The sequence below is a fragment of the Homo sapiens genome, chromosome 12, assembly GCF_000001405.40.
Source record: "Homo sapiens chromosome 12, GRCh38.p14 Primary Assembly".
NCBI classification, from domain to species: domain Eukaryota; kingdom Metazoa; phylum Chordata; class Mammalia; order Primates; family Hominidae; genus Homo; species Homo sapiens.
Window position 1 is genome coordinate 127,158,523 of NC_000012.12, and position 23,952 is coordinate 127,182,474.

Here is a 23,952-nt window from a genome sequence, read left to right on the forward strand (position 1 = left end):
GCCTTCCACTAGCATGGGTTTATATTATATAGAGAGACACACAAGCAAACCAAAGGAGAATAACAGCAAACCAATGAAAACTAGAAGAGAAAACAAATAAACCAAAAAACAAACCTAAATTTTCATACTCAACTTACCCTGGAAACTACAGTGTTACCTAGGGCCCCCCAAAACCCATATAATGAACATTTTATTCCTGATATACAATTCAATATCCTTAAGTTCACCAATATCATTAGACATTCTGTGCAATCAAGAAATCCACTTCAGGCAGATGACCAATAAGTGCTCCAGCACTATTCACGGAAAATGGTGAACAGAGTGAAGTGATGCAAGCATGTGTGTGAACATTGGTTTTACGCTAAATTCAGCTTCATGCTTAACTATAGTAAAAAAAGAATTGCGAAACTGCCGATGCATTTTTACAATACTTCTTACCTTAATCAACACTAAGAGTTTTAACTATGAAAATGTTAATTAGCCAAATGTTTCCAATTCTTTATCATGTTTTGAGGAATATTTTATTATTTAAACTTTTTCCACTCCTTTCTCCCCTACTTAATGATTCCTTACTACACTGATTCATAAATAACCTTTTCAAATCTGTAATTTGAACTAACTTTTATACAACTTCAGAATTAGACAAAATTATTCTTTTTTCCACCAATAAGCCTTTCTGGCACATTTTGTATACAGAATTATGTGCTAACTAGAATTTTATATTTAGTAACCTAAAACTTTAGTGAAACCCTAAAAAGCAAACCCTGAACTATTAGATATGGGCATTTATAGACAGGAATAATTCCACAATTTTAGCAACATGCTTCTCCATATTACTACCCATTTTTAATTGGAAATGACCCAGATATCAAATGAGCATTAAAAATAACTTTAAGATTTTAATTTACACAAAAAGTTTACTTAAAATAATTATCCTCTTCACTGTACTCAATTTTTTATTTTTAACAAGGGAGATGTCAATCAACATATGTCAAATGAACGTTGGTTTGGCCCAGAAAGGTGGGACAACTCAAGGAGAGGAGGGGGCTTGGGGCTTTCAGATCATGGGTGGGAGACAAATGGTTGCATTCCTTTGACTTTCTGATTAGCCTTTCCAAAGAAAGCAATCATATATGCATTTATCTCAGTGACACTTTGAATAGAATGGGAGGCAGGCTCGCCCCTAGCAGCTCCCAGCTTGGACTAACACTAACATTTTTAAATATCTAGCAAAGACAAACATAAAATTCAGACAAAATGTATGCTGACAATTCTGATGGCATTTCTCTTTTTATTCCACCAATAATTGTAAAGCCAGTTTGTTTAATAAAGTTATACTTAAGTCATGTGAACTTGAAAATTGCTCAGACTTATTTACTTAATTTATGAGCATTCTTTTACTTATAACCAATTTGGAAGACACAATATATAACAATAAGTGTATATACAAATAATCACATCTAGACATGTATACACACACATAAACGAAGATCCAATAGCTTGGAACCTTGGCCGTGAGATAGCAATACAAGCTTGCCAGTTTTACTTTGCCCCAATAGATAATCCAAGGAAGGCTGAGAACCAAAATTTTGGGTAAATCAGTCTCCATGGCAGTTTGATTTTTAAAGGCTAAACCTCCCCAGACTCCAAGGAGCACTGGGGCCAAACAGTACCAAAGGAGGGCGTCACACGTTAACCAGGCTCCCTGCTTAGAACAGCAGCACAAAAGCCTGAATACATGCAATGCCATCCCACTTTCCAATTCGACAGCAAACTTCAGATTCTAAGCAATTTTGGGGCCAAGCAGCATTGCAACTGTGAGAGAAAATTCCAAAGAGGTCTTATTACTAGATCTCAGAACCTCTGCCAGGAGCATCCTCTTTGGAGAGTTTGAGGTCTGGAGGATCCCCAGGAGTGTCCACTTGTGGGGTCTAATCTTAGCGCTCCAGAGGTCTCTGGCCTTAGGTGGGCACTGGTGCCACTTTGCAAGCATTCCCTCCAGAGCCTACTATGAGCTTTCCTTTGGTACCTGGGTGTAATCCCCAAATTTTAGCATCCTTATAATTTGATAAGGCCTTATAATTAGAGACGCTTTTCCATGCTTCTCATTCCATGAACTTTAATGATAGGAACTGGAGGCTGGGTGGGTTTCCTTCACCCTTAGCCAGTTGAATAGGGGAAGGGAAGAATTTAGCATAGGAAAAGAAGGTTTAAGTCACCTGAAACATGTGCGGGTTTGCTCTGAGCTGTGCCACATATAGGGATCAGGGACCACACACCGAAAATACATTAAAAAGAGCCTTCCCCCTTCGGGGCAGGCCAATTATTCCCATTCATTCTTAGGCCTTCGGGCAATACCAGGGAGTGACCCCAGCCAATTGCCCTCAATTTCCAAGGAAGTACTAGGAGACAGCCATTGAAAGACTGAAAATGAAAGTGGAAAAAAAATGAAAGAGATCCACATTCCTTAAGTGAACCGGGTGGTGGGGGTCAGGCTTCTCCACATGGAAACCCCTTAGTTTCACTGACCATGGCCAGAAATTTGAAGTTGCTTCCATGTTTAGACGCTGCCCACCAAGGGTCCCGGGTTGGAAAGGAAAGGAGAGAGAAAGAGATTCCCCTGTATGGAGCAGAAAAGAAAAGGAGAAAGGAGAAGAATAAATCCCAAATTTTGGGCTTACCTCTTCCTCCTTCCCGGGTCACCAAAATATGTTAACGGCAGAGGTTGTTCAGGTTCTTGGGGATATTTAAACTCCCCAAAATTCTACAATGGGGCCTTTGAGCCCCTCTGCTCAGGCCCACTCCCACACTGTGGAGTGTACTTTCATTTTCAATAAAACCCTTCATTCCTTCTTGCTTTGTTTGTGCGTTTTGTCCAATTCTTTGTTCCATTGGTTGCTTTGGGTACACCCTATATAAATGGGGAGGAGGAAGTAAAGTTACAAAGTCATTTACCGCATACACCCTACGGAGAGGATATTTCCTGTTATAGCTGAAGTGTGAATCAGCCTTATGCTCCCTGCCTCCAGACCCTATTTTCCTGCCTCAAAATGAGCTTTGAAAAACCCCCAGTCTACCAGCCTTTGATGAGATTGATTTAAGTAATAACTCTCTCCCATGTGGCATGGCTGGCCTCATGTCAATTACATTTTCTTTGCTGCAATGCTGTGCTGTGAATTGATTTTGTTTGTGCAGCAGGCAGGAAGAACAGGTTGGGTGGTTATATCAGCCTTTCCACAAACAGATAAACAAACCAATGGGCCAAGACACCCAGTATTTATCACTTTTTTTTCTCTTAAAATGTGGAGTTGAGTCCTCAGCAGTGAAACATTGGTATACCATTTATAAACATTACAAAATCTTTCAAATGGTATTTTAAGGGCACCCTTATATTTTCTGCACCTCTTCTACACTTACAATGTTGTAAACAATGGGTGGGTAATGAAACAGTTTTCTGAGCCAGCTAGTGTTCTCCTCCAAGAAGGCATCATTGTTTCTGTGAATGCTTCAACATTTTATTTTCATTACAGAGAAAACAAAGCAGAGTAAAATAAAACAAAATGAAAACAAACACACATGCACTGTGCAGAACTATTTACCTGCCCTGCATTCATCCTACTTTTTCTCTCTAGAACACGCATTTCTGCAGATTTCTATCTGACTCAATGCCTCACATTGGGAAAAATTTCATTGCATATAAACACAAGATAGCAAAAAACTACTTAGTGACTGCCTGCTTGCAGTAGGCAACTGTGACTTGCTGTTTTTGTTTTGTTTCTATTCTCTCTCTTACCACAATTAATCCCCCTTTTGAAATTAGCACTTGATTTTTTTTTTTTTTTTTTTTTTGTAGATTCACCTTCTCCCTTGTCACCCTCCATCCCTGCAGCTCCATGCATCTCCTTCATATGGGGCTGACTTCAACCTCAGGATGCAGGGAAGTCACCTAACCCAGGCCTGACCAATCAGGGCGTCACACCTCTTAGAGAGTATTTAAAGGGCAGGCCTGATGGCCAATGAGATCTGTTCCTGGGGCTTTGCTGAGAATACTGAGGGAAGTTGTCCTTCCTTCCATCAGTTTTCTCTGCTGATAGATGAATAGCTTGGAGCTGCCGGTGTTTATCTTGTGTTATTTGGGAAGCATCTACCTGAAAATTACAGAATAAAATAGAACCAAATATGAAAATTCCATTACCTGAAGACATTTTTGATAACCTGGTCCTCTCTTGTACCTTTCAGCTGCGTAAGAAAATGCATTGCCTTATTTGTGTGTTCATGTATGTCTTTCTTTACAGGCTTCATCACAGTGGAGCTAGGTCTTGGTCACTTTCATCTGAGACCTGACAAGTACGCTCATCACACACTCTGCACCTTACTGTGTTCACCCCATTCTATCCATTCTGCCTCTGTGTTTTGAAAACTTGCTTCTTATTCTCAAGATACCTTCCCCTTTTTTCAGACTGGTAGCATCACAGCTATTCAAATAAATGCTCCCTCTTCTACCACTCTCCCTGGATGGGCCAATGGTCTGCCCTTTAGCTTTCACAGCTTTGGTGTACTGCACTAGACTATGAGTGACCTGGGGTGGAGACTGTGTCTGAGTCATCTTTGCAGCACCCACCACAAAATGTTCGTGCTGAACAAGCAGAGGAGGCTCCACATCCTGTTCTTTACAGATTTTGATTACTGTCAGGTGCCTGGCTGGCTGAAAAAAAAAATTCTTCCATTTTCCTGGCTTTCTGAGTGTCTTTCTTTTCTGGATGTTCATTAGGACATGGGCTCAGCCACACCAAGCTCATGCAGTCCTGTTGCTTCAGGGGATGTTCAGCATCAAGGTAGCTGCAAAAAAAGGAAGGCAGATAGTTATGAATCTACCTTTTAGTCTCTTTCTGCCTTAACATACCATAATTTTGAAGAGGTTTTGTATGCCCTTTACTTCAATGTGCTTGTGTCTGAGGGAAATATTGAGATACAGACATCCGGCAGAAAATGTTTCCTGGCATTGGAATCCTGCAAACATCCACCTCTTCTGTTTACCCCAATGCTGCTGTTAGTGAGGGGAACAGGGAGAGACCCTGAGACAGCCTGAGAGTCACCTACAGGAAGAGACAGGGCTTCTCCTGAAGAGGAAGTCACTGGGGTCTGGCAAGCAGGTCAGCTCACTTCATTACCACCTGGGGCCCAGGTCTCTTTCTATCCCTCATGGAGTGGTTCCCAGCTCTAATAATGAAAACACTTAAGGAGCTTTCTAAAACAAAGATTCCTGAGTCCTATCCCAGATTTAGAGGTCTGAAGATCTAGCAGTAGTCACCTGGGGAGTTCATTTTTTTTTTTTACAAAGCTCTGCAAGTTTGACAACCACTACCTTAAAACACACACTTCTACCATTTCAGTCAATTAAAGATGCAATATTAAGATATTCTCTGCACCTCACAGAAAACCAGAGCACGAAGGCCTTTAATTTCCCAGGATTGGCCCATGTTACAGAAAGGAATCCTAACAGATTTGAACATCTTCTGTTGTACCATACTAGGGTGCTTGGAAAATATGTTGTTTTCTGTCTCTCTCCAGGCATACACGTAAGAGAGCACTTCACAAAATTATTGACTGAGAAGTGGTCATGTGTCTTGTTTTGGCCAATTAAATGTGAGCAGAAATCATGTGGGTCACTTCCAGGTGTAAGATATTAGAGGCCTGCATGCTTCATCTTACTCGTTTGTCTCTCTTTGCCATGACAGCCAACAATCTTCCGGAAAGGCAATGCCTAGTAAGTCTGGCTCAGAGGTCAGGACAAGCAATGTCATTGTGGAGCAGCCTCCTGAGGTTAATGAGAAGCCTGAAAATCCTAAGTAATCTCCAAAAACCTTCTAGAATTAATGCGTGAATTTAGCAAGGTCTCAGAATACAAGGTTAACCCCCAAATCTACCAAATTTCTATATCTTACCAGTGTATAATTAGAAACTCAAATTAAAACACACACACACCCCACTGCTATGTAGAATAGCTCCCCTAAAGTGAAATACATTGATATAGATTTAACAAGACATGTAAAGGTTGGTATGTTGGAAATTACAAATGCTGATAACAGAATCAGTGACTACCTACATAAAATGAGAACTAATTCATGTCAACATAGTAAAGATGTTACTTTTCCCCAAATGGATCTTTAAATTTAATGCAATACTACTTAAAATCCCACCAGGATTTTTATAGTTATAGATATGCTAATTCTATAATATATATGGAAAACAAAATGAATTAGAAGACCAAAACAATGTCGAAAATCAAAAAAGTAGTTGGAAGAAGCCATACCCAATTTTAAGACTTACTATTAATTGATAGTAATCAAGACATTGGTGCACTAAGGAAGAGATGGCTACTCCCAGGACCCAGACTGTGATCTCTAAATGCTATTGACCAGTAAAGAGAACCAGAGCCCCAAAAGGAAATGGCTGATTCCAAATATTGGTCTGAAAAGGTACAAAATGAACCTGTATATCTTGTTATGATTGAAAGCAAGGACATTGTCAACTATTAATGCAATTTAGTCAAAAAAGATACAGGGATCTGACCATCCCTTTATACAGGCCATCCCTCTGGATAAAGAAGTGACCATCTGAGGATTAAAAAAAAAAGATACTGGCAATGCTTTGTAACACACAAAACATAGCCAACACGAGTAACGTTTTGAGCTTACTAGATTACCATGTTACCATTTTGACTTTCAGAACTGTAATATTGGCCAGGCGCGATGGCTCACACCTGTAATCCCAGCACTTTGAGAGGCCAAGGCGGACAGATCACTTGAGGTCAGGAGTTCAAGACCAGCCTGGCCAACATGGTGAAACCCCGTCTCTACAAAAATACAAAAATTAGCCAGGTATGATGGCAGGTGTCTGTAATCCCAGCTACTCGGGAGGCTGAGGTGGGAGAATTGCTTGAATCTGGGAGGCGGAGGTTTCAGTGAACCGAGATCGTGCCATTGCACTCCAGTTTGGGTAACAGAGTGAGACTCTATATCAAGAAAAAAAAAAAAGAACTGTCATATAATAAATTTATATTGTTTTTAGCCACTACATTTGTTACAACTTATTAGGGTAACGTTAAGAAACTTTTCTATTTTCCGTAGAGGCCCCGGAGCTCCTTAGCTTTGGGATAAACTGGTGCTTACCCCAACTGTGGGGTCAGAGCGTGGAAGTGAGAGAAGGGAAAGACCATCATGGTCTGCTGTGGTCAGGGAAGGCTTCCTGGAGGAGGAGAAAGTGGAGGAAGCAGCTGAGCCTGGAGGGATGGGGTCACTACCTTTAAAGCATCTGTCAGCCATGGGGATCTGATGGTTTTTTTATTTTTTATTTTTTATTTTTATTATTATTATTATTTTTTTACAAACCCTTGTGTGGAGATCTGACTTTCAATAGATCGCAGCGAGGGAGCTGCTCTGCTACGTACGAAACCCCGACCCAGAAGCAAGTCGTCTACGAATGGTTTAGCGCCAGGTTCCCCACGAACGTGCGTTGCGTGACGGGCGAGAGGGCGGCCGCCTTTCCGGCCGCGCCCCGTTTCCCAGGACAAAGGGCACTCCGCACCGGACCCTGGTCCCAGCGCGGGGCGGGGCGGCCCGCCGGCGGGGACCGGCTATCCGAGGTATCCGAGGCCATCCGAGGCCAACCGAGCCGACCGAGGCCAACCGAGGCCATCCGAGGCCGACCGAGGCCGACCGAGGCCGACCGAGGCCATCCGAGGCCGACCGAGGCCGACCGAGGCCGACCGAGGCCGACCGAGGCCATCCGAGGCCGACCGAGGCCAACCGAGGCGCCGCGGGGCTGCCGTATCGTTCCGCCTGGGCGGGATTCTGACTTAAGAGGCGTTCAGTCATAATCCCACAGATGGTAGCTTCGCCCCATTGGCTCCTCAGCCAATGGGATCTGATTTTTTAAGCAGTCACAACACTAGACTTTTAATTGAGAAAGCTCTGTAAGCAATTAAAAGCCGCTGTTGTTTTAAACTCTTCTTGTGTCACCTGCTGGCAATGAGGAAAATGATACATCACCTCAACAAAATGCCTCAGTGAGTTGGTACACATTTTTTATTTGCATTTTTATTTGCACATATTCTAAGATACAACCATGTCAAAGCTTCCAATTATCTTTTTTTGTTTGGTTTTGTTTTTTGAGACGGAGTCTCCCTCTGTCACCCAGGCTGGAGTGCAGCGGTGTGATCTAGGCTCACTGTAAACTCCTTCTCCCGGCTCAAGCAATCCACTCACCTCAGCCTCCTGAAGAGCTGGGACTACAGGCACCCACCACCACACCTGGAGAATTTTGTTTGTTGTTTGTTTGGTTTGAGACAGGATCTCACTCTGTTATCTAGGCAGGAGTGCAGTGGCACAGTCTCAGCTCACTGCAACCTCAGCCTCCTGGATTCAAGCGATTCTCCTGCCTCAGCCTCCCAAGTAGCTGGGATTACAGGCACCCGCCACCATGCCTGACTAATTTTTTGTATTTTTAGTAGAGATGGGGTTTCACCACGTTGGCCAGGCTGGTCTTGAACTCCTGACCTCAAGTGATCCGCCTGGCTCGGCCTCCCAAAGGGCTGGGATTACAGGTGTGAGCCACCATGCCAGGCAAATGTAATTATGTTTGACCTCACAAATTTACTTTCAAATATATGGTGAGGGTTAGACCCTTGCTACATAGCAGGAGGCACTCAGGAAAGCAGGTATGGTGCCTGCATTGACTGACGTTGAAACCTAAGGGAAGTGACAGGCAGCAAAGAGTTGCCCTATAATAAATGAGTGGTCTTGCAATAACTCTGTTGTGAGATAATGTCAGTGGAGGCCCCTGTTGAATTATGCAGCCCAATGTGGGATAGGGTGGAAGAAGGAAGGGGAGAGACATCCAGAGATGGGGTTTGGCATCATCTCTCAGAGGCTGGGAGAGACCCAGTCCAAGCCCACATGCTCAGCCATCTTAATTTATTGACAAATGGAAAAAAAAATGTACAATGTATTATACTTTAAATGCTTCCATTAAAAAGATTCTTATTTCTGATAGGTGCATGCAAGTATAACTCTTTCAAAATATTAACAAATACATTTATCTGTGGCTGTGGGTCAGTTAGAAACCTGCATCTAATGTGTTTTCTTCCTACTTTCTCTCTGCCCCACTCCATAATCGGCTGTGGATCTTAAATGGCATGACTGAGCCTCAGATTGGGTGATTTAGACAGTAGAGATGCCAATTTTTAAAAATGAAATGAACCTTGAGTACAGAAGGATAGATTTCTTGTAAAACCAAAATGGTACTATCTTCTACCAAAGAATTAAGGCTGCAAAGATATATTGTTCCTCTGTACATCAGTCATGATTGACTTATAGATTAGGAAATAGAGCCAGGTTAGGTGGCAGATCACGTGAGGTCAGGAGTTCAAGACCAGCCTGGCCAACATGGTGAAAACCTGTCTCTACTAAAAATAAAAAATTAGCTGGGTGTGGTGGCAGGCGCCTGTAATCCCAGCTACTCGGGAGGCTGAGGCATGAGCATCACTTGACCCCGGGAGGCAGAGGTTGCACTGAGCCGAGATCATGCCACTGAACTTTAGCCAGAGTGACAGAGTGAGACTCCATCTAAACACACACACACACACACACACACACACATACACACACACAAGATTAGGAAATAGAGCCTGAGTCTCTTTTTTATTATAACCAGCAAGGGTGAATGGGAATAAATAATCATATTTTCTCTTTGCTTTGCGCCATTATGCCATTACCCAACTTGGTGGGCAGTTTCAGGAATGCCCCTGGAACCTATTAACAGTGAATTATTTATCTTAACAGCTGCTATGAAGCGCATTCCAGCAGTTGCTCCATGAAGGACATCTCACAGTTTTTGAACTTTGCTGAAGGCCCATGTAAGAAACAAAATTCATCATCAGATGAAAGAGATTTCTTTCCTCGTTTTCAAATATAAAAACATAGTCACACACAGAGTTCTTCCACAGGGAAAGCCAAAATTCCAATCTTAGCTATGTTTGCAAGATAGCACTCTCATTGCCACTGTGTTCTGTGCAATATTTAGTCTAATGTGGAAACAGAAGTGGTAGGTTCTGCCCACCACAATGGCAGACACTCCGAGTTTCAGTCATATGTTAGGATTCATCGCTTTAAACAGAAGAAATCTCAGGCAATGTCCCTCCAGTACCAGTCTGCCTCCCTTTATTTCTAAAATGCTGTGTATGAACATGCATACTTTAATATTAACCAAGGAAAACTTTACTAGAAAGTCAAAATAATGAAAACTTCAAAAGAAACGACTTCAGATACTTTGGATTTCTTTTTTTTTTTTTTTGCCCCTTTCCACATCAAAACATATCCATTCAGTGTGTCACTTCCTCAATACCCCTCTCTGTCATTTCCAAGATAAAAGCTCCATAATGGAAAAACTGATTTGAAATAATATGTTCAATAATTGTTAGCAGATTGACCAAATTCAGATGTCAGTTTCCATTTTAATGGGAGCTTTTTGGGAACATAAGGGGGACTGTGTTGGTGGAAATTTTAGGAACAGTCACAAATATGGTAGTAAGAAATATGGTCTGGATAGTGCTATATTTCCTGACAACTTCAGTAAAAAGCAACCATCTGAAGTTCTTTGTTTTAATAGTTGTGTTCCATCTTTTTTTTGGTACCATCTCAGGAGATGGAAGTTGAAGTTGATATACCCCTTCAGATGTCAAGATCTTTTTAACCAAACAATGTTTTTCTAACACTTTCACGCCTTCCTCATCCTACATTCAGTTGGTGAGTAGTGGGAGCAGGAGAGAGGAAAGCACATGAGATGATAATGCTTCTTCAATTTCCATGGGCGTTTCCTGCTCCGAGAACAAGGGCATATCTGCATGAGAAGGTCAGAGTAACTCAGCCTCCACCCACACCTGCACAAACACGTGCACACTATTCCACAGAGAGCCAAACATCAGTCAATGAGGATGTTTAAAGCGCTGAATCTCCCCAGCACTTTGGGAGGCCGAGGCGGGCGGATCACATGAGGTGGTGAGTTCAAGACCAGCCTGACCAACATGGAGAAACCCCGTCTGTACTAAAAATGCAAAATTAGCAGGGTGTGATGGCGCATGCCTGTAATCCCAGCTACTTGGGAAGCTGAGGCAGGAGAATTGCTTGAACCGGGGAGGCGGATGTTGCGGTGAGCTGAGATTGTGCCATTACACTGCAGTCTGGGCAACAAGAGCGAAACTCCATCTCAAAAAAAAAAAAGCTGACACTAGTGAAATTCCTGTGGGCAGGCATGGATCTTAAGTTGTCTTCCATTGAATTCCATTTAGGAATGTGGAGCTGTAGACACGTGAACACAGAGAGAAATCTCCAGATGAATAATACATGCACCTAAGCCCCTGCATAAATACACAAGAATGGCAGTTACTTAAATTTCTGATATATTGAGGAAATAAAAAGTTAATACCAATTTGCATTACCAGAGACTTGGCTATTGCTAGTTCTGGAAAAAAAAAAGATAAAAAGAGTGGAGTGATGAGATGATAAATTGCACTTTCAACCACTGCAAAGCATTGAATGCGGCTTGTCCTGGCTGCTCTACAGTTACATATTCACCTAGCAAATATGTATCCAGAATTTGCAAAGTACACTGTTAGCCCCATGCTTTAGATGAGTTGGATGCATTTGCATCAGATCAATAGGTTAATGAGGGAATCTCTGACTTTGCACCATGGTGCCCGTAATGAATGTCTGCCTTGTTTCCTGCAGCCAAGCCCCATCCTCTGGTCCTCCAACCATCTTTGAGCAGGGGCTCCTTGCCTGCCCTTTCAGCTTCCCGAGGTCTAGGCTTCTTCTCAGACCCTCATTCTCTCCTCCCAGGTCTGAACCTCAGTCTGAACATCAAGGCTCTGATGCCACACAGGGACCATATAGACACCCACTGGCTGGCACTGCCCCTCAACTCCTCCTGCGGGGACTCCCTTGGTTCCTGTCCTGTCCCCAGGGGTCTGGTCTCTGGGTCCTTTCTGCCCAAATGCAGCTCCCCCCACCACCAGCCAGGGCAAGCGGAAAAGAAGAGATTAGGCAACTCTATTTTGTTTTCCAATCTGTGGTGAGCAGTCAGTTGTTGCTACTTCATTCTTAGCATATGTCTTAGTTGGAATTCTTCCCAAAGCAGACACTGATACAGGGACTTAGGTTGAGGTGAAAGTGGACCCAAGAAATCACAAGTGAGAGAATGGGGGAAGTGAGATGGGGGAAAGAGGAAGTCAACAGGTATGTGTCAAAGGGTGTCTGCTCCTATGTCGCTGGGGCCCACATTCCACTGGGAACCTTCTAAGGAATGATGCATGATGTGCCTCAGAAAAGATGCTCTGTGGGACAGAGACACTGGGCTGTCTGTCCAGGACTCGTCCCTCCCTTTGGCTGAGAGTTGCTTTTGGCAGCATTTCCAAGCTATCTTGCACCAGGCTGAGCATCTTCTGCAAGGCTGGAGAAAGCTCCCAGGCAAAGATGTACAAGGATCCAGGAAGCTTCCAGAGTGCAAAGAAACTGCCCTCCATGGCTCTGGATGGAATCGAAACTCCACAGCTCTGGATGGATTTGAAAGTGGGCTCAGCAGCTGTGGGGCAGGGCACTACCGATAACTGTGACAGCACAAGTTCCCGTCTCACACCTGCTGTTGCCTCTGCCAGAAATGTTCTTCCCTCACATCTGAAAGAGCCTCCCCTTTAACTGCAGGCATCTGCTCAAATGTCCCCTCCCAGTGGCATCTTCTCTAACCATCCTGTTGAAAATAATATGCCTTAAACCCCAGAAAAACATCCCATCATTTCTACTCATCTTGTAAATGATACACATGTGATAGATGTGTGTGTGTGTGTGTGTGTGTGTGTGTGTGTGTGTGTGATCTCTCCCTCTCCAGCAATGTTAGTTCCGAGAGGGCAGGGACCAAACACACAAAGCCTCCTCTACTTGTAGGGTTTCTATTCTGAGGACTGGAGAAAGGGAGAACAGAAATAAAGGAGAAGATAATCATGTGGCTTGTTATAAAGAGATGCGTACTGTGGAGCAAAGGAAAGAGTAGAATAAGGCGACTGAGAATGCATGCAGGCTGGGCAGGGCTGTGGCTTCAATTTTAAACCATGCTGTGAGGGTAAACCATGGGACATGTGACTTTTTTTTTTTTTTTTGATGGAGTTTCACTCTTGTCACCCAGAGTGGAGTGAGTGCAGTGTTGCGATCTCAGCTCACTGAACCTCCGCCTCCCATGTTCAAGCGATTCTCCTGCCTCAGCCTCCTGAGTAGCTGGGATTACAGGTGCCCACCACCATGCCTGGCTAATGTTTGTATTTTTAGTAGAGACGGGGTTTCACTATGTTGGCCAGGCTAGTCTCGGACACCTGACCTCAGGTGATCCACCCACCTTGGCCTCCCAAAGAGCTGGGATCACAGGCGTGAGTCACGGCGCCCAGCCAGATATGACTTTTGAGCAATGACTTGTTGAGCTAGACCATGTGCCTGGCAGAGGGAATGGACACTGCCCAGGCCCTGAGTGGGGAGCAGGCCCAGTGTGTTCCCAGAAAGGCCAGGCCGGGAAGTCAGTGTGGGCAGAACACAGTCAGGAAGAGAGTAGGAGGAGAGATGCTCAAAAAGGCCTGGGAGGAGATCATGTGTAGCTTTGAAATATATTAAAAGAGATACGGAGCCGAGATCCCGCCACTGCACTCCAGCCTTGGCGACAGAGCAAGACTCCGTCTCAAAAAAAAAAAAAAAAGAGAGAGAGAGAGAGAGGTACAGTCTCTTGGGATCTACCAGAGCTTGCTTCCAGGAACTCCAGCAGATACTGACATCTGGGGATGCTCACATCCACTCTCCAAATTTACAATCTTTGCATCCAGCAAATACCGTTTTTGAATTTGAGATGCAAAACCTGTGGGTACGGAGGGCTCACTGTAAAATGACACTGAGCTTTACTCTGAGTGTAATGGGATGGCACTGCCTCATGTTCTCTCTAGGAGGGGCCCCCTGGCTGCTGCCACACCCTTGAGTGTGCATGGGGGGATGGGGGATGATATGTTAACTACATTTGTCAACTTGACTGGGCTCAGGGGTGCCCAGATAGCTGGTAAACATTATTTCTGGGTGTGTCTGGAGGATGTTTCTGGAAGACATTAGCATTTGAGTTGGTGGGCTGAGTTAAGAGGATTTACCCTCACCAATGTGGGTGAACATCATCTAATTTTTTGAAAGCCTAAAAAAAACCAAAATAGCAGAGGAAGAGTGAGTTCTCTTCTCTCTCTTTTTGAGCTGGGATATCCATCTTCTCCTGCGCTGGGATGTCAGAGTTCCTGGTTTTTGGGCCTTCAGACTTCTGGACTCTGGAATACAACAGAGCTCTCCTGGTTCCCAGACTTTCAGACTCAGACTAAATCAAAGCATCTGCTTTCTTCATTCTTCAGCTCACAGATCATGGGACTTCTCAGCCTCCATAATACTGTGAGCTAATCCCCATAATAAATCTCCTTTGATGCATCTAGGCCTGTCCTATCTGTGCTGCTTCTCTGGAGTACCCTGACTCATCAAGGGGTCAAGGGTTGAAGCAGGGAGACCATCATGGGTGCACTGCAGAATCCAGGGGAAAGGCCATGGTGGATGAGAACCGGGAGTAGCAGGGCGGCGGTGAGAAGTGGTCAGAATCTGTGTATATTTGGAGGAGGTGGCAAGAGGATTTCCTGACAGATTGGATAGACAGATTGGATAGAAATGAATGGGGCAAAAGTGAGTTAGAGGCTTTGACCTGGAAGGACAGAGATGCCATCAACTGAGATGAACTGGCTGCCAGGGACCCCAGATGTGACTGTGGTTAGAGTGGGGAGGGGCCAGTGCTTATAACTCTGTTTCTGCAGGGATCCCCAGTTCTACTCTGGCACCCCAGTGGTCCACGGCTGAGGAACATCATAAGAAAACACCTTTGGCATGACCATTAGTGCGTAAGTGGCTGACATCTTCAGTAGGGTTCGTGCTGGGGCTCCTCCAAGCAATCTCTCCAGGAACAGACTTTGCAGGACCTGAGATGGTAGTATGGAGGTTGTTAAGGGTCGCAGATGTTCAGGTTTCATTCTGCAGCTGTGTGCCACCAAAACCAATGGGTTACCCAGCAGGCAGGTCACCAGGCAGCCTCTGCTCACCTTCCAAAGCCCAGTAACGTCATGTGATATCAAAGCAATAAGTTAATAATTGTATCTTAATTTGTATACTTTAAATAGGCTTTAAATCTTCCCTTACATATAATAAGATATTAAAATCATCAAAGATAGATTGCAAATTAGTCCACACATCTCTATGTCCACTGCCAGCTTCCTATTCCTCACTGAATTAGTCCATTCTCATATTGCTATAAAGAACTACCTGAGACTGGGTAATTTATAAATAAAAGGGGTTTAATTGACTCACAGTTCTGCAGGCTGTACAGAAAGCATGACTGCGGAGACCTCAGGAAACTTACAATCATGGTGGAAGGTGAAGGGGAAGCAGGCACATCTTACATGGTCAGAGAAGGAGGAAGAGAGTGAAGGGGGATGGGCTACATACTTTTAAACAACCAGATCTGAGAACTTACTCATTATCATGAGAACAGCAAGAAGGAAATCCACCCTCATGACCCAATCACCTCCCACCAGGCCCCTCCTCCAACACTGGGGATTGCAACTTAACATAAGATTTGGGCAGGGACACAGATCCAAACCATATCACATACTGTGATCTACCCTTTCCTGGATGTTTATCACAATTTCCTAGTATGTCTCTATGATGTTCTTTCTGCCCTAGGCCAGAAAGATCCTTTTAAATATTAAATTGTGTCATGACACTCTGTCTCTTCAGAGCTTTCAGTTCCATCTCATTACACTTAGAATTTAAATCTCTCTCTCTCTCTCTCGTCTCTCAAGAATGGTTGAAGAGGCTCTGCGTGGTATGACCCCAGCTCATGCACCTTCATCTCATGGTCCTTTCTCTTCCTCCCTGTGCGCCAGCCACCCTGGTGTCCATCACTGGCTATAAAGCAACTTTTATCTTTCAAAAAAGGGAATTTAGTTTTAGGGCACCTCCATCTAATAAAGCCTAAAAACCTAATTGAATACCTGGAGGTTAATGACTAATTAACTTTGTTGATCAACATTGGGTAAAAAGCAACATTTGAAGAGAAAGTTTGTTTTTGGCCATCTCAGAAAGACACATGTGGGTCACAGGTGGTACGGCAGTGGCAGCTGCCAGCTCACATGGCACTAGGAGCCACCAACCTGTGATGCCCCTGAGCCATTCATCACTCTTGGCAGCAGGACTTTGATATTGATTAAGCAGCAGGCACGGGGGAAGGAGAAAAGAAGCTCTTGCCACTTCGTCTCGGCGTTTGTCTTTTCTCCAAACGTCAGGGCAGGGGAGCATCTGCTGCCAAGACATGAATTATAAACAGATGAAGAAACTCACTTTATGGGCCAATTCTCATCTTTTTCCTCTCCACCTATTCCCCCTATGCTATAAAACCCAATATATCCTCTGCTTAGTAAACTCTTAATCATGTAAAGGATCATAGACAGGGCCCCCTGTGACTCACACCATGGCCAGGAACAATTTCCAACACTTGTCACCTCCCATCTGCTGGGTTTATTAACGTGAGAAGCACCAAATAATGTTCAGCAACAGCCTCATCCTTTTCTCTTTTGTCCTCTGCCAAGGCATGAATCTAAAGAAACTCTTTAGGTACTTGGTTTTGCATTAGTTATTCATTGATTTTGTCAATTGATAAATATCTAACAAGCATTGATTAGCTAACAGACACTAAGAATAAAGCAAATGTAGTGCTTGCATTCATGGAGCTTAATTATTGTGAGGAACATATGAAGATAATTAGTATTTCATATATATATATATATATATATATATATATATATAATTTTGAAACAGAGTCTTGCTCGTCATCCAGGCTGGAGTGCAGTGGTGCAATTTTGGCTGACTGCACCCTCTGTCTCCAGAGTTCAAGTGATTCATGTGCCTCAGCCTCCAGAGTAGCTGGGACTATAGGTGTGCACCACCATGCTCAGATAATTTTTTTGTATTTTTAATAGAGATGTGGTTTCACCATGTTGCCCAGACTGGTCTTGAACTCCTAGGCTCGAGTGATCTGCCTGTGTCGGCCTCCCAAGGTGCTGGGATTACGGGCATGACCCACTGCACCTGGCCATATTTTTAATATTTTAATCTGAACAATTTAGAATAGAATATAGAGAAAACATAAAGAGGAAGAGATATGAATTTAAGTGGGTATATTTCATTGGACGAGTAAAAACTCATTGCTTCGGCCGGGCGCGGTGGCTCACGCCTGTAATCCCAGCACTTTGGGAGGCCGAGGCGGGCGGATCACGAGGTCAGGAGATTGAGACCATCCCGGCTAAAAAACGGTGAAACCCCGTCTCTACTAAAAATACAAAAAATTAGCCGGGCGTAGTGGCGGGCGCCTGTAGTCCCAGCTACTTGGGAGGCTGAGGCAGGAGAATGGCGTGAACCCGGGAGGCGGAGCTTGCAGTGAGCCGAGATCCCGCCACTGCACTCCAGCCTGGGCGACAGAGCGAGACTCCGTCTCAAAAAAAAAAAAAAAAAAAAAAAAAAAAAAAACTCATTGCTTCAGGTCAGTGGACATCGTACCTATCATCACAGATTTCTTGGTCAAAGTGGCACCCACCCCAAGACTTACGTAAGTGTTTCTATTGGTCAAGTGCAGTAGTTCACACCTGTATTCCCAATATTTTGGGAGGCCAAGTTAGGAGAATCACTTGAGGCCAGGAATTTGAGACGAGTATAGGCAACATAACAAGACCCCATCTCTAAAAAAAAAAAGAAAATAGCAAAATTAGCTGGACAAGGTGGTTCATGCCTATAGCCTCAGCTACTCTGCAGGCTGAGGTGGGAAGATTGCTTGAGCCTAGAAGTTCAAGGCTGCAGTAAGCTGTGATTATACCACTGCACCCCAGCCTGGGTGACAGAGTAAGGCCTTGTCTCAATAAATAAATAGATAAATAAATACTTCTATCTTTTGGGTTGCAGAGTCCCTCTTTGTACAAGGAAGGAATGGGAGATAATTCATGGGGCAAAGATGCATTCTTGAGGGTAATAGCCTGTGATACAGCACAAGACACAGGCTGCAGAGGACACGCAGGTGGAATCTGAGACCCTGAGAGTCAACCACCCTTCCCCCACTAGCTGGCTCCCCATTGGTCAGGTAGAGAAGTGAGGTGAGGTATATGACAAACGCTTCTCCACCATAACACCATTACATTAGTGTAAAAAGCACTTGATAATTTGTTAACAGTATTTGATTAATGTCTGGAGTCCTGATTTTGATAATCGCATTGTGGTTAGGAAGCAGGATTGCAGACGGGTAGCACCCTTTCTGCCAAAAGTAAAATTACCTTGCTGAGAAAAGTTTTTGTCTGAATGCTGATTCTTCCTTGCAGCACAGAAGAATAAGCAGTTAATTCCAACATTTTCCCATCAAATGGAGACCTGCGTGGCCTTTGGTTTAGCTTAAGGGATGATGTCTCCTCAAGCATGCAAGCAGGAACCAGTGTTTCCATTGCTTCTCTCCATCATCTCCATATCCTCCTAGTCCACATGGTGCTGCTGGTGTGTCATGGGCCTACTTCTGCACCCCATAACTTCCTCTGCCCCCTTGCATGGCTGCTGCAAGCAGCTCCTACTTGCTTTCCTGGACTTCCATTTTACCTCCTTTCAGCTCCTCCAAATCCCCGGCAGAAAACCATGTGTAAGACACTAATCTAATCATATTGCTCATCTGATTATTTCCATAAAACATTTTCCTACCATTTTAAGAATAAATCCAAATACCCTACTGTATCTGAAGCCCAACCTGACCTCTGGGCACTCACTGTCCACATCCCATATCCCAGCTGTAAGCGGGTATGTTGTTCTTACACGGGCAGTGTCTGCTACTTATCTCAGTGTTCACCTCCAGCTTTGGTTCTTCCAGAAACAGACCCTGAGGCACAGGTTCAAGTGATGAGTGTTTATTTGAGAAGTTCAGGAAAGACTAGACAAGAAGTGGGAACCTGGTAGAATAAGAGAAAGAGATGTCAGAGGGTGCTCTCTCTGGCCAGCAACCACAGGGATCACCAGATCTTTGGGTGAGGAAGTGTCAGGAAAAACTGCAGCAGACTTGTCTCAGAATTTTCCCATCTGAGCTGTGAGGGACCTGGGGTACTTATACTCCACCCAGTAAGAGTGATTCATGAGGGGCTGCTCCTAGGGACAGGTTCCTATTATTCTTCAGATGTCTCACCCACCCAACAGTCAGATAGTTGACTTTTTCACAGTTGTGGGTAGGAGGGCAGACGTAAGGCACAGAAGCACATGTATGAGAAGTTATAAGTTCATAGTAGAGTCGAATATTCACATGGAATGTTTCAAAAGCTATAGATAGGGTGGCCCACTGGGAATATCTGATATACCTTCTGTCCCTGTTCTCTCAAGACCCATCTTCAGCTCCTTTGCCTGGCCTATTTTTTATTGTCTTTTGTGCCTCATTTTGTGTGTTAACTCCTGAGGGCAGACTTCTCTGGCCTCCAGCATCCTGGCTTAGCTGCCACTGCTGTAGTGTCTCAAGCGCTCACTGCTGTCTCTCCCTCACAGCCCTGACTGCACTGCATTGTGACTGTCTGTGAATGTGGTGGTGGTTCCGCCAGACTACATACCGACTGAGGGCTAGGGCTGCCAGATTCGCATAGATGCCTAAATCTGAATTTCACACAAACAATGAATATATTTTTAGTCTACAGCACGCCCTGTGTATATGCTATACATGTGGCACCTATTGAGAGTCTTATGGTATCTGACAGAAAACAGGTACTAATTTTAATGAATGATTAAACAGAACATGCAAAGCAGCATATAGCTAATGTAACTGAAAACAGATGTACATCTGATCCTATGGCAAGCCTCTGTTACCCCAGCCAAAGTGAAGCCTGCACAACTATCATTTTTTTTGCAGAGTGACAAGACATTTAATGTGCGCTAACTTCAGGCAACACATTGGCTATCTGTCAGGTGCCATAGTCCTCTATCAGGGCATTCAAATGGAACCTGTACAGCAGCCAAGGCAATGAAACTGCAAAAAGCTGATGGGATGAGGAGATTGAGATCTAAACATCCACATGTTTCATGACCCTTTGTATTAAATCATTTATGGGAATGACTGTGTTGCTAAATTTAACAGAGTGTAACAATAGTCAGTAGTCTCATAATGATTATTTCCCTCCTCACTTGATTGGTTAAGTTTGCGATGAGGGCAGATCACCTGAGGTCAGGAGTTCGAGACCAGCCTGACCAACATGGAGAAAGCCTGTCTCTACTGAAAACACAAAATTAGCCTTGTGTGATGGCACGCACCTGTAATCCCAGCTACTCTGGAGGCTGAGGCAGGAGAATAGCTTCAACCCGGGAGGCAGAGGTTGCAGTGAGCTGAGATTGCGCCATTGCACTCCAGCCTGGGCAACAAGAGCAAAACTCTGACTCAAAAAAAATAAAATTAAAAAAGTTTGCCATGATATCCTGTCAAAGATAAGGGATTCCTTTTATTAGGAGACAGTTCACGAGAGTATCTGGTGCAGGCTCCTGCTTTGACAAAACGCAATAGAGGACACAGAAGTGGAGGAAATTAAACAGACAAACACGGACAATGTGAGACCAGAAAATGAACTGTTTCCACTGTCTGATCATTTCATTAGGGAATTGACTTCATCCCCAAGCCTGAAGCCGTTTTACTCATCTCCCATTTTCCCAGTCTCTCTCATACACAGACACACCCTATGCCACAGTCTCTTGCCAAAGAGTTACAAATCCATTTGGCTTCCAGGCCACGAAGACAACTGAAATTCACAAATTGCTACTCACCTACACTCATTTTTTAAAAATAAACTTTATTTATTTTTGCTCACCAATTATGTATTTATGCGTGTATTTAATTATTTTATTTTTATTTTAATAAAACTTTTTTTTGGGACAAGATATCCCTCTGTCACCCAGACTGGAGTCCAGTGGCACAATTATTGCTCACTGCAGCCTCAACCTCTTGGGATCAAGCCATCCTCCTACCGCAGCCTCCCGAGTAGCTGGGACTACAGGCATATGCCACCATACCTGGGTAATTTTTTTTTTTTTTTTTTGAGATGGAGTCTTGCTCTGTCACCAGGCTGGAGTGCAGTGGCATGATCTCGGCTCACTGTAACCTCTGACTCCCTGGTTCAAGAGATTCTCCTGCCTCAGCCTCCCAAGTAGCTGGGATTACAGGTATGTGCCACCATCCCCAGCTAATTTTTTTTTTTTTTTCAGTAGAGACGAGGTTTTGCCATGTCGGCCAGGATAGTCTTGATCTCCTGACCTCATGATCCACCTGCCTCAGCCTCCCAAAGTGCTGGGATTGCAGGCTTGAGCCACCACTCCCGGCCCATACCTTGGTAATTTTTAAAAAGTTTTTGTAGAGACGTGGTCTCACCACGTTGCCCAGGCTGGTCTCAAAGTCCTGGGCTCAAGCAATCCTCCCTGCCGTGGCCTCTCAAAGTTCTGGGATCACAGGCATGAGCCACCGTGCGTGGCCAACTATTCACAGCAAAATTGAGTGGAAGGTACAGAGATTCCCCATATCCCTCCTCTCCCCGCACAGGCACAGCCTCCCTCATTCTCAGCATCCCTCACCAGAGTAGTCTACTTGTTACAATGGATAAGCTTATATTAACAAGTCATTATGACCCAGCCTCCATAACTGCCATTAGGGTTCACTCCTGGTGGTGTCCATTCTGTGGATTTGGAGAAATTTATAGTGTATCCACCAGTGTAGTAACATACAGACTACCTTCACTGTCCTAAAAATCCTCTGTGCACTGCCTATTCATTTCTCTCTCTAGTTTTTACTGCATCCAAAGATGGATAAGACGTAGCCATATTTTCTCACTTTCGGAGAAAATCCTGGGACCTAAAAGTGAAATCCCACAATTTTTGAATCTCTCGAGCCCAGACCTGTGCTCACAGCAGTCCCCATGACATCCTACCTGACACCCAGCTCCTGCTTAATCCCCACTTAAAACTTGGCCTAGCCCACTCTAGCCAGTTCAGCCCTCAGGGAACCCCCCTGCCTCTGTTTTCCAAACTACCCCATGCACCAGTCATGGGGAATTTATCCCAGATTCTCATCACCACGAATGGCAACTATCCATATCAGTCATTGTACAGACACTGCCTCATATATATTTATACATTTACTTAGTTATGTATGTCATATTTCAAAAGATTATGATGATTTAAAAATAATATCCAAACAACATGCTTTGTCTATAGAGTTTAATTTGAACAGAACAATTGGAGAGGATAATTATCAGGAGTGTTTCTGTTAAGACCTAAGCTAAGGGCTTTCTTTTCTTTTTCACTTAATCCAACCTCATCATAATCCCAGGAGGAAGTTACCACTACAATCCTTATTCTTTGGGGAAACTGAGTCCAAGGGAAGTGACACCTCAAGTGGCTACACAGGTAGTGAATATCAGAGCTTGAGTTTAAATCCAGGTTGTGGGGAATTCTAAAAAAATGTCCTTAAGAAGCATTTGGGTGAAAGGATAACTTGTGGAGTGCTGAGACTTTCTCAGATCCAACATAAGGCTCCAAAAACCGTGAACATGTCCCAGAATCTAGAAACGGGAGAAGCCAGTGGTTTGCAGTGAGCCTTCCTCAGGTATACTTACGGTGCCTATAGGCTAAATCAATACCAACATCTCTTTTCAGGAACATCCTTGGCTCTTTTCACTTATTTGTTAAGTATCTTCTTCCTTTTTTTTTTTTTTTTTTTTGAGATGGAGTTTCCCTCTTGTTGCCCAGGCTGGAGGGCAGCGGTGCGATCTCAGCTCACAGCAACCTCCACCTCCCAGGTTCGAGCGATTCCCCTGTCTCAGCCTCCGGAGTAGCTTGGATTACAGGCACCCACCACCATACCCAGCTAGTTTTTGTATTTTTAGTAGAGACGGGGTTTCTCCATGTTGGTCAGGCTGGTCTTGGACTCCCAACCTCAGGTGATCCATCCACCTTGGCCTTCCAAAGTGCTGGGATTACAGGCGTGAGCCACCATGCCCGGCCCATTAAGTACCTTCTTTTACTCACTTTACTGGAAAGATTCTGTGCTACAATTCTGCCTTTTAATGGGCAAGTAACATACTTACTTTTCTTTAACTGCTCAAGACCAAGCATCCCTAAGGAAATAGAAGCAGATAGCGATGCTTGCAGTTCTGGAATTTCAGAATGCCTCATAGACCTGCCTCCTCATAAATGCTGCTTTGCCTTCCAATTTTAAACCTAAACTCAATCCTTCATGAGGGGAAGTATCAGGTATCATGATAACATAATAATCTTGATTGAAGTATAACAAACACACATGAAAACACTGTGTATTAATCAGGGTTCCCTAATAGGATAGATGTATATATGGAAGGGAGTTTATTAAGTATTGACTCACACGATCACAAGGTGAAGTCCCACCATAGGCCGTCTGCAAGCTGAGAAGCCAGGAAGCCAGTCCAAGTCCCAAAACCTCAAAAACTGGGAAGCCGACAGTGCAGCCTTCAGTCTGCGGCCAAAGGCCCGAGAGCCCCTGGCAAACCACGGGTGTTAAGTTCAAGAGTCCAAAAGCTGAAGAAGTTGGAGTCTGATGTTCAAGGGCAGGAAGCATCCAGCAGAGGAGAAAGATGAAGGCTGGAAGACTCAGCAAGTCAAGTCCTTCCAACTTCTTCTGCCTGCTGTATTCTAGCCACACTGGCAGCTGATTGGATGGTGCCCATCCAGATTGAGGGTGGGTCCGCCTCTCCCAGTCCACTGACTCAAA

The 23,952-nt window shown here is 44.1% G+C and overlaps 1 long non-coding RNA gene across 1 annotated transcript in view; it reads right to left on the reverse strand.

Moving 5' to 3' along the window:
* The window catches only part of LOC105370062 (uncharacterized), a 32,191-nt gene extending 8,568 nt beyond the window's left edge, over positions 1 to 23,623 (reverse strand). The window contains exons 1-3 of the long non-coding RNA XR_945515.4: positions 23,587 to 23,623; positions 4,196 to 4,839; positions 2,682 to 2,911 (exon numbers count right to left, since the gene is read on the reverse strand). This is a non-coding gene — a long non-coding RNA (uncharacterized LOC105370062). The remainder of the gene's footprint in view (positions 1 to 2,681; positions 2,912 to 4,195; positions 4,840 to 23,586) is intronic.
* Positions 23,624 to 23,952: the final 329 nt, after the last annotated feature.